The sequence below is a fragment of the Homo sapiens genome, chromosome 13, assembly GCF_000001405.40.
Source record: "Homo sapiens chromosome 13, GRCh38.p14 Primary Assembly".
In the NCBI taxonomy this organism is placed as follows: Eukaryota; Metazoa; Chordata; class Mammalia; order Primates; family Hominidae; genus Homo; species Homo sapiens.
In genome coordinates, this window is record NC_000013.11 from 46,322,959 (window position 1) to 46,334,625 (window position 11,667).

An 11,667-nucleotide genomic window follows, 5' to 3' on the forward strand; every position below is an offset into this window, starting at 1 on the left:
ATGGACATCATGAAGATTTGTGGGGGAATAAATTGTATATAATTAGAGTATCCAATTTTACGGTTTAGAGTGTGATTACAACAAGATGTGATTTCTTTCACTATTGATTTGCCTATTATAGAATTTCATGTAGATGGATTCATACAGCATGTTCTTTTTTGCTTCTGGCTTTTGGATTTATCAGCAGTTTGTTCTTTTTATTTCCAGTAGTATCCTATTGTATGAATATAACAAGATTGGTTTATTCATTCTGTTAATGGACTTTGGGGTTTTTTTTCCAGTTCTTTTGGATAAATATGCAGGAGTGGAATTTCTAGGTCATATGGTGAGTGTATGACCAACTGTTTCCCAAAGTGTTTGTGCCATTTCATATTTCCACCAGCGATGCATGAGTTCCTATTGCTCCAGATCCTCGCCAGCATTTGGTATCATCAGTCTTTTAAGTTGGGGACCTTTGAGAGGGTGTACAGTGGTATCTCATTGCAGCACAGGCAGAACTTTGAAGCTCAAAAAGTAGGAAGAAAACATGCAAGAATGTATAGAAGACAGGTTAAGCTGATGAATATTACCATGGTCTGCATTATGCTGAGCTAAAATAATTGATTTCCAGCAACTTCTCAGTCTGGACCGGGAGAGAGAATCAAGGACTTGTGGTGTCTTCACTGGGTTGCTGGCCCAAGTGATGGCTCATCCCATATCTTGGGGCAGGTTCAGGAAGGATTCTGATTGAGATAAGGAGAATCAACCCAACTAATGGACAGGAGTAAGAGCAACTATGGAAACTTTCCCCTGAACTTTCACTTCCAGGAGATAACACACAACTCTTTTTTTTTTTTTTTTTCGATGGAGTCTTGCTCCCATCGCGCAGGCTGGAGTGCGGTGGTGCGATTTTGGCTCACTGCAACCTCCGCCTCCCGGGTTCAAGTGATTCTCCTTCTTCAGCCTCCCGAGTAGCTGGGATTACCGGCGTGCACCACCACGCCCTGCTAATTTTTGTATTTTTAGTAGAGACGGGGTTTTGCCATGTGGGCCACGCTGGTCTTGAACTCCTGACCTCAGGTGATTCATCTGCCTTGGCCTCCCAAAGTGCTAGGATTACAGGCATGAGCCACTGTGCCTGGCCTAGATAACATACAGCTCTTAAGACCGGGCGTCTCCTCCAGGTCTCTGAAGGAGAACTGTTTTCAGAGATAGCAGTTTGATTACTAAAAGCTGTAACTAAACAATATTTCTATAATGTACAATCATTTCTATAATGAGCCACTGCTACATAAATAAAGGCTTTTAATGATTGATTGTTGAATTTTGGAAAAGGAGTGCTGGAAAGTAACATTATTTGGGGGAAACACTTTCCTACACCTCAGGTTTCCATACCAAGCAGGGAATCATGATTCCCTGATAGAAAAGAGGAGGCGGGGGATGTTCCTGGCCCCTTTCTCCACACCTAGGATATGACAGTCAGGACATTTAACAACCAGTGAAGCATGGTCACCACCAATCAGAAAAGATGCCACCTGGAAGGGGTCTTTGGTGCCCCTGCCAGGTGCTGTCGCTGGGAGGTCTGAGAGTCGGAAGGAGGGGCTGGAGGCTAGAGAGGATGCTGTTTCTCAGCTGCATGGAAGTATTCCAGTATTGTCATCACTGGTACAGCCACACTCATGTGTAGGGGCTGACCCGGGAGGAAGAACGACTTGTCATTCCGGTGAGTTTGGGAGAAGGAACTTGATGGCTGCAGTGAGCCACCTGGGCTTTCTCTCTGATGTCAGCCTGCCTGCTTCCCTCTCCAGTAACAACAAAGTTTACTGGGCAGTCTCTGCCATGAGATGGAGGCTGGCAGGAGACTGGAACTCAGACGGTCTGTTTAATTCAAGGCTGAAGATTGATTAAGGCTGCTCAGCAATGCGCCCCATCAGTAATATCCGTCTGATTCATGTGTCTCTCAATTATTTCCATGTTCAGTGTGGAAGGCAGGACTACAACTAATTTGCACCTCTAAAAACCCAATACTATTGTCAGTGGGACCCCAGGTCCATTTATGGGAGGAGAACTTTGCTTCTAAATAACCAGTTCTCTATTTTAGACACAAATATCCCTAATAGAAAAAATTGCATAAGATTCTGTAACTCCATGGATGTATAATGTAATATCATTCCATTCGTTCTAGTCAGTTTTCAACAATGCAAGCAATTGTCTGATTAACACGTTGGTTTCCTAGAATACCTGATCAGCAGAAGAATGTGTCCTGTTTATGCAATAAAATTGTGGTGTATAGACAAGGGATATGATTTGTATGTGTGGCCCCTCCGAATCTCATGTCGAAATATGATCCTCAGTGTTGAAGGTGGGGCCTAATGGGAGGTGGCTGGGTCACGGGGGTGGATCCCTCATGATTACCTTGGTGTCATCCCTGTAGTAATAAGTGAGTTCTCACTCTATTAGTTCATGGGAGAGCTGGTTATTTCAAAGATCATGGGATCTTTCTTGCTCCCTCTCTCACCACGTGACATGTCTCCTCCCCCTTCACCTTCCACCGTAAAGAAAGCTTCCTGAGGCCTCACCAGAAGCAGATGCTGGCTCCACGCTTCTTGTACAGCCTGCAGAACCATGAGCCAAATAAACCTCTCTTCTTTATAAATTACCCAGCCTCAGGTATTCCTTTATAGCAACACAAAATGGATTGACCCAGGCCTTATTCACTTATGTTAAAATAGGTAAAAGGCTTTTCATCCAAGGAGCTGAACGCTTTATTTTGAATAAGCTAAAGGCCCTAAAAAATAAATTATGGAGCATATGGATATTCCAACAAGAAACACAGTAGAAGGAAGGCAATTAAGGGATAAATCGCCTTCATGTGTGCTCTTCATCTTCCACTTTTTAGCTGGATGACATTGAGCAGGCACCTCTCTGTGCCTCAGTTGTCTCAACAGTAAAATGGAAATAATGAAATCTAATCTTACAGAGTTGTTGTGAAATGTGTATGAAATAAAATATATAATAAAATGTGCATATAAAAATGCTATGTAAAGTTTTAAAATCTGATACAAAGTGTATTACAATTCTTATTATACTTTAAAAAATAAAAGAAAAAACACTGCCAGCAGTAGATCGATGATGGAACATTCCTGATGAAGATGATGGTATTTATCCTCACAGAGCTGATTCCATTGGGTTCCTTCTGTTTTTTCTAGGGTGCTACCCTGGTTCTAAGATCAACTAACCATCCATGTAAGAGGTTACATTCTTTAAGAGAAGAAGGAAGTAGTGTGGGGAGGGAAGAGATGAGAAAGAGATGGAAGGAAGAAATAAAAGATATCTGTGTTTCAGGAAGTATAACTCCTTCCAGTGGCTTGGTACTTTCTCACTACCTGGATGGAAAATGAGTGATTAAGAAAGCATCTCAAATTCAAGATTTTCCCAGTGGTTTGCAGACTTAATTGTTGTCCCTACAAGAGCTATGAAAACCATATTTTCTCCTCTCATCTTCATACCATTTGGTCCTGACCCTACCCTCCTCCCCGGATTCCTGCTTAGTTGAGAATCTCATGCTTCTTTTCTCAGATGATCGAGGACTGAGAACTCTGCTGGTCAGTTTTATGTGTTTCCATGGCTGGGCTGTAGTACTCTGCTATTTGATCCAACACTAGTGTAAGTGTTTCTGTGGAGGCATTCTGTAGAAGTGATTAACATGCACAATCAACTGACTTTAAGTAAAGAAGATTATCTTGGATAGTCTGGTGGACCTGCTCTGGCCAGTGAAAGGCTTTAAGAGCAAAATTGGGATTTCCCTGAGGAAGAAGAAATTCCACCTGTGGACTGCAGTTTAAGCTCAGTTCTAGCCTGCCCTGCCTGATGGCCTGCCCTAAAGATTTCAGATTTGGCTAGTCAATCCCACAAGCATGTAAGCCAATTCCTTGCAATCAATCAACAAACAAACAAATGAATGTGTATGTGTGTGTCCTGCTGGGTCTGTTTCTCTGATAGAACCCTGACTGACTCTAGGAAAACAGCCTGTTGCATGGCAAGAGTGACGCCATCTTGAAGTGGAACTGCCATGATGACAGATATTTGACTCCTGCAGACCAAGGTGTTCTTCAGCAAGATCTTTAAACAACACCTGCGGTGTAGATAATTCCTCATAAAGATGCTCATCTAACCTCCCCAGTGGTCATTAGTCTTGGCAAGAAAGTCTGAGACGTGATCAGCTGCATGTGTCTCTACCTTAAAAGACTGTTATATAAATGATACTTTTTGGAGAGCATGATTTTTGGAGGGGATTCACTGTCTCACGGCTGCCCAAGACATTGCTTCTGTTCCTAAGTCCCTATTAAATGCTTCTGAGAAACTAGATTTGTCAGCCTTTCTTCAGCCTCTCAGCTCCCTTGGCCTTTGGGGGTTGGTTTGCATAGACCTGTGCACCATAAACCAGTGACCAAGAGCAGCTTTCTATGCAACTGATGTCATTTTCCTTTTTTACACCCTTACTTATCTGGTGCTTAGTGATGTCACAGCATCAGATAAGGCAGGCACTGGCACAGATGTCGGCCAAGCCACTGGGGAACAAATTGAGATTTTAACTTTAACTTGATTTTAATGGCAAATCCAAATCTGAGTTTCAATCATAAATCTTTAAGAAAAAGACTAAAAATTAAGTGAAAAATGGGCCACAGAACAGGCAACACTCAAAATAATGTTCTATGAACATATGCTAAGATGTTAAATCTCATTTGTAAATAAAGAACCGTGAATTACATCAATAACATATCAATTTGTCATCAACCAGGCAAAGGTTTAAAAGAATGATGCTAAATATGTGTGGTTTAGCATATGTCAATTATACCTCAATAAAGCTCTAAAAAGCAAAATGAAAAAAAAAAGCGTGGTGTTTGGGATACTGCTGAAAAATGAAAATTCTCAGTCACAACCAGTGAGTGTTTGAATTGATTCATCATTAGGGAAGGTAATTTGGAAATATTTATTAAAATGTTAATTAGACTCACATTTTGCCCTAGCAGTTCCTTTTCCTAGAATTAATCTTATGACAAATTTTCAAACTGGTGCCAAAGGAGTAGCTAGAAAGAAATATAAGAAGCAAAGAAGAGAGAAAGCAAGAAAAGAGGCCAGGCATGATGGTTCACTCCTGTAATCCCAGAACTTTGAGGGGCCAAGGTGGATGGATCACTTGAGGCCAGGAGTTCGAGACCAGCCTGGCCAACATGGTGAAACCCCACCTCTACTAAAAATACAAAAATTAGCTGAGTGTGGTGGTGGGCACCTGTGGTCCCAGCTACTTGTAAGGCTGAGGCAGAGAGTCACTTGAACCCGGGAGGCAGAGGTTGCAGTGCATCGAGATTGTGCCACTGCACTTCAGCCTGTGTAACATAGCGAGACTCTGTCTCAAGAAAATAGAAAAAAAAAAAAAGAAAAGAAAAGAAAGAAAAACACATTCTAAGGAAATAATTAGACCCTTGAATAAAGTTATAGGTATAATATTATACCTTTATAATGGTAAAAAATATTAGGATATTTATAACAGCAAAATATTTGGACAAAAATTAGATTGGTCATATGAATTCTGGTAGAACCACAGAATAGAATACGATACAGGCATTAAAATAACTATGCAGATCTACATGAACTGGCATGAAAAGATATCCAAAAACATTACTGGGAGAAAAAAGCAGTTCACATAATAGAATTTGCTAAATAATCCCCTTTTTAATAGATGTAGGAGAATAGCTAACAAAACTCATACATTTTCAAAGGTTTGGGATTTTTAGAGTGAACACGAATAACTTTTATAATCAGAAATAGTAATACATTACTTTTCCATTTAGAGGAGAATTAAAATAAATAACAAATAAATATGGTCCTCCTTCAAGGGGCTTACATGGGAAGCTGCTTTCTGCTGAAAGCAGAAATTTCTCTGAAGCTCTGATATATTGATTTAGGATATCCTGAGGCTCTACCTGACCCCCAAGAGAAATATCTCTCAGGGGCGATTTCTAGGAATAATTGCATCTCTCCTGATTTTAAAACATCTGATCTTTATCTCAGGGGCCTGAATCACATAACTGAGAATACTGCTTTCTACATGAGCTGTGAGAAAGTTCAAGGCCAAATTTATGTTCCCTTAGTGAACGTAAAGCATTTTGTACTTGCATTCTATATTCTGACATTTCCCCTGAATTCATGGTGTATTTTCTCCTCTTTTTTTATCTTCATCCTGATTTTCTCACTTATTTTTACCTTGATCAATGATTCATTCATTCAATAAAGTATATGGAGTAGCTGGTATGTGCCAGAGGAGGCTAAAGCGAATGAAATGTGTGTGCCTTCAGTTTAGAGGCTACTGAGGGCAGCGGTTGTCAGAAGGGAGCAGATAAGAGAATTGTAACTTCTGTTACATGTTACAATGAAAAGATAATCATGTTGACTTGGAGACATGTAAGAAGAAGACCCACTGAGTCCAGGGGGAGGGTAGGGGGGTTGAGCTGTGGTCTGAGGTTGGGATGAAGCCCAACATTTGAAGATGGGAAGCCCTGGGAAGGAACAGTAAACAGTGTCTTCTGAGCTAGGAGTTTAATGCCTTCTAAAAATAGAGAGAAAAATCAGTGTGTGTAGAACATAGCAATCCCACGGGGTTTGGAGAGCTTTCAGGTTGGTAGATACATCAAGGCGCTGGGAGGGTGCTGCACCCAGAGACAGTGTGGAAGCTCTGCGCCCTCCGCCATACTCCACCCTGTGCATCTCTTCCATGTGGCTGCTCCTGAGTTGTATCTTTTATAATAAACTGGTAAATATAGGTACTTTTCTGAGCTCTGAGTCATCCTAGCAAATTATTGAACCTGAAAGCAGGGAGGCTTGTGAGAACCTCCAACTTTGTAGCCAAATTAGACAGCAACGTGAGTAGCCTGGGTACCCAATACTTGGGTCCGGCATCTGAAGTAAGGACAGCCTTTGGGGGCTGAGTAATTAAACCTGTACAGTCCAACATTAACTCCGGGTAGTTAGTGCCAGAATTGAATTAAACTGTAGGACAACCAGTCGGTGTCCTGAGAGAAGGAAAATTGGTCATTGGTGTGGAAAACCCCCACACATTTGGTGTCAGGAGCATTGTGAGTAAAATGTTCAGAGATACTCAAGATACCCTCAAAAACCTTGTGGTATAATAGGCGAGCCAGACTAGTAATCAGTAAAAAAAAGTGTGTAATAGTATAAATATATACAAGGTATAAAAATAATAAAGCAGAAAGAGTAACTAATATTGAGAGGAGTTGGAGAACAAGGCTAAGCTTCGCAGAGGATGGCAATGAAGGGTGAATAGTTTTCCAGGCGAATAATGAGGAAAGATTTCCCCTTATGTTTTCTTCTTAATTTTAATGACACAATCCTTCTTGGTTTATGCTTTGAAACACCAACCAAAAATTCAGCAGAAGCACCTCTGCAGCTTTAGGATTGTCTGCTAATTGTAACAGCTAGAAACAGTGAAAAGGTGTCCAATGCATACTCACTTCTATTCAAAAAAGATGTGTTTTGTCCTCACCAGACCAGATACGAGGTTAAACTGGATGAGAGGCCCTCTGAGGTCAACACTGCTTGGACCGGGACAAGGCAAGGGTGAAAGTCATGCCTCTCTCTGCCATGGGCTTCCTCCTCCCCACTTTCTTCTTCACACTCTATCCACTCCCCCAGGCTGTGAACCAGAGCAGCAAGTGCAGCCTGGCCCTTCTCACCAGGATTCAAAGATGCTTAAGCCCCCAAAACCTAACCTAAACAGCAAAAAAAAGCCCAAGTAAATGAGGCTGTGTGCATGTACTTGGACGTGCGTGCATACACCTATGTCACTCGGCATACATTACCCTGGTGGCTGTGGACTGGGACCAGGCTCCTGGAAAATTTCCCCCTTTTTAAAAAATCTGTCAGAGTTCACGGTTCAAAGAAACAGTCACCTGCTCCAGTTGCTTTAAGCAGAACAGAGATTTGTAGAAAGGACATCAGGAGCTTCCAGAATAGCAAGGAAGGTTAAAGAACCATGCTTGGAAATAATCCGAAATGAGGAGCCAACAGTCGCCAGAACCTCAGGCACAATCACACCACGGCTATGCCCCTGGAATGGGTGCTCCCCAGCCCCGCCTCCCTGTATCACAAGATCCTGATCTTAGAACTTCCGGGATGCAACCAATCTGTGGTGCCTGGGTTGCCTGCCAGTCCCCTGGCTGCAAAAAAGGTCAGAGAAGGAAGAAGACTGGAAATTTTTGCATTTATGGTAGGACATGGTCTTGGCTCCCAGCAAGAATCACCAGATTGAAATTTCCCAACATTAGGAAGGGAATTTAGATGCTAGGAAGGGGGAAAATAATCATTCACTTCACCCCCCATCAATATTGTAAAGTAAAAATATGAGAGAAAAATCTGCAGTTAAGTTTGGAATAAAGACTAAGAGGAGAAAGAATTGAGGAATATTTTTTAAATAGCCACGGTTTATGTGGGCACAAAACCATTTTATCCTCACCACAGCTATCTGCTTCCTTTCTCGTTATTACACTACAATGTCATCAACTGCATATTTGACTTACTGCAATTTAACCAAAAGCTTGGAGAAAAACAAAGAGAGAAGGAAAAAGAAACAACAACAAAAAAGGAGGCTGTGCTGTGGAGACAGGCAGACAAGAGCCTGTGGTCCCCTTGGTGGCTCTTGGTCCCCATTGCATGTACAGTGCCCATTGCATGTACAGTCCCCATTGCATGTACAGTACATTGCATGTACATGAGTGTGAAAATAATATCTGAAGACAATTTTTTTTAATTCAACAAATGCAAGTCATCTACTTTTTCTGTTGTTCAAGTGTTAAAACAGCAATCTATTCCAATGTGAGGAACAGCCTTGCTTTGCTGGATTTATTAATTCTCCATATGTTTATCTCCCATGTGGCTGCTGCTTAAGAGCTTTTTAAAGGGTAACTTTCTAGTAAGTAATTTTTAATCCGACTTTAGAACTTATATCCCCCAGCACTGAGTGATGCTCCCAGGAAGGTGAGAGTCCAGTGCTCCTTCTTGTAACAGAGTTTTGTCAATACTAGCCTCAGAACAGCTTCCCTACCACAATTCTATCTCCATCTTCCATGCCATCACCACAGTTAACTTTCTAAAGGCACAAACATAGTTAGTCCCCTGTTAAAACTGCTTCTGGGCAGGGCGCGGTGGCTCACGCCTGTAATCCCAGCACTTTGGAAGGCTGAGGTGGGCGGATCATGAGGTCAGGCGATCAAGACCATCCTGGCCAACATGGTGAAACACCATCTCTACTAAAAATACAAAATTAGCCAGGCGTGGTGGTGCACGCCTGTAGTCCCAGCTACTCAGGAGACTGAGGCAGGAAAATTGCTTGAACCCAGGAGGTGAAGGCTGCAGTGAGCCGAGATCAGGCCACTGCACTCCAGCCTGGGCCACAGAGCGAGACTTTGTCTCAAAAAAAAAAAAAAAAAAAAAAGACTTCCGAGACAGTGAAACATAGAGGTGAGGCACAGCGCAACAGTTAAGAGTTTAAGCTTAACCACAATTATAAAATAAAAAGGCTGTGAGCTCTAGCTTCCTGTAAAAATGGCAGCCTGAACGTACGTTTACTTTTGCATACTGCTGAAGTCCCTCTAAAGCAATGGTAGAAAGACTGCTCAAAAACAACAATTAAGGAATTATTCTAAAGACATGAACTTACAAGAACAGAAAGGATGAAGGAAGAGACATCAGCAACAAAACTTTGGGAGCCGGAATGTCAGTGGAGATGCTGTAACTGACTGCACCATCTTTTTTTTTTTTTCTTTCTTTTTTTTTTTTCTTTTCTTTTTTTATTATACTTTAGGTTTTAGGGTACATGTGCACATTGTGCAGGTTAGTTACATATGTATACATGTGCCATGCTGGTGCGCTGCACCCACTAACTCGTCTGCACCATCTTAACCCCACTTCCCTTTTCTGACGTTTTTCCTCCTCTGTGGGGAACTGGAAGGGGGCAGCTACTGAGATCCCACATGGATCCACACGGACCCAGATGGCTGCAGGGGCTAGGGGCAGGGGCCTGGCATGGGGCATCAGGGTCAGCCCTGCCCCATGCTTTGGCCATCTGGACGCTACAGCAGAGACAACATGTCACAACTTCAGGTTGGGGAGGAGAGGAGGTAGTTAACAGAGGAAGTTAACCTAATTGGAATCAGGTTTGGCCAGAAAAAGGCAATAAATTCTGCATGCGTTTGTGTTTGTGTTTGTAATGTGTGTGTATATGGAGAGTGTTCCCTAGCATGCATCTTTGGGAGACTTCTCCAGGGGGTCCTAGGACTACTCTGCAAGGGAATGGGAGGGCCTGGTGGCATTTGTGGTATGCAGCCTGACCCACTCTCCTGCCCCCATGGTGTGAGGAAGATGTACTTATTGGAGCATTTTTATAGGTCATGCTTTAGAACCAAGTGAGAGCCTGAGGAGGAGCTGGAATCAGAAGGTGATTCTGACTGTTTAAAACTGTCAACTTCGGAGGCTGCAAGGGTCTCTAGAGTACACACTGGGTCAGGTTCACACCTGTGCTTCCGGAGCAAGGCTGATGCTCAGTGATAGATTTTTAAATTGTCTTCAACTGAGAATTGCTGGATACATGAGATCACCCAAGGAGTAAAGATGCAGAAGATGGGCGATGGAGACCTGAAAATTGTGGTCAGTTTTCCAGTACCAGGAGAGCTTTGTGCAGATGCACATATATCAGCATCCTCAGTTGGCCATGGCCACCAAGAGCAGCTCCCTGAGTAAAATGACTAGCCAAGAGGGTGGCACATGTTCTGTGACTAGTCAGGACATGGTCAGAATGTCACTTTAGCTCACAGGCCACCGTGAATGGCCATAGTGCAGGAAAGGTGTCCACCCAGCTTTCTATAGAGTTCAGGGTTGGAAGAAACATATAAATATCACACAGGACATATATACAGTAAAAACTTACTCATATATCTCAAGTTCAGTTTAATTAGGTGCCTGAATTTTTATGTGCCAAATCTGGCCTACTAGGGCTGTGCCACTCCCACACCAATTCTCTCATCCAAAGACGGGGCCCCAGGAAGCTCAGCCGAAATGTGGCCAATCTGGACTCTGACAGTGAAAGACGGTTGACAGGGAGGTGACTCTGAGGAAATCCAATGGCAACTGACATGTGCTCTGAAGGTGGAAACCACCAGCATTAGGTTTTCATAAGCACTAGCACCAGAAGAGAGTAACTGTTCTAAGCTACATCTCGGTGTGCTTTACATTACTGCACTTTCACTTCCATTATCTTGTTGGATGCACACAATCACCCTGCAAGGTTGGTGTTATGTGCCACTTTCCAGATAAGGGAGCCAAGACGCAGAGATTAAATGAGCTGTCCAAAGTCACTGCACTTGAAAGTGTCTAAGCCACCCTTTCCATGTAGGTTTCCTGACTGTTAACGGTCCACTCTACATTCTCATGATGCCCATGGGCCAAAACAATCACTCTTTCCTCCCCACGACAACTGATTGAATGGGAAAGGGTCCCTTAGGAAAGTTGATGTTATTTTTATGGAAGACTCAGAGGGTCAGACGAGCAGGAGGGAGGTATAATGATTCAGATGTGTGAATTATACCAGGGCTGAATAAAGAGGTTATAGAGAAG

General features: G+C 42.6%; 1 annotated feature.

Moving 5' to 3' along the window:
* Window positions 11,157-11,236: a silencer, noted in NCBI's record as "silent region_5320". NCBI's record gives its function as "represses an Ori minimal core promoter by ATAC-STARR-seq in GM12878 lymphoblastoid cells {active_cell/tissue: GM12878}" and the evidence as "EXISTENCE:reporter gene assay evidence [ECO:0000049][PMID:35858748]".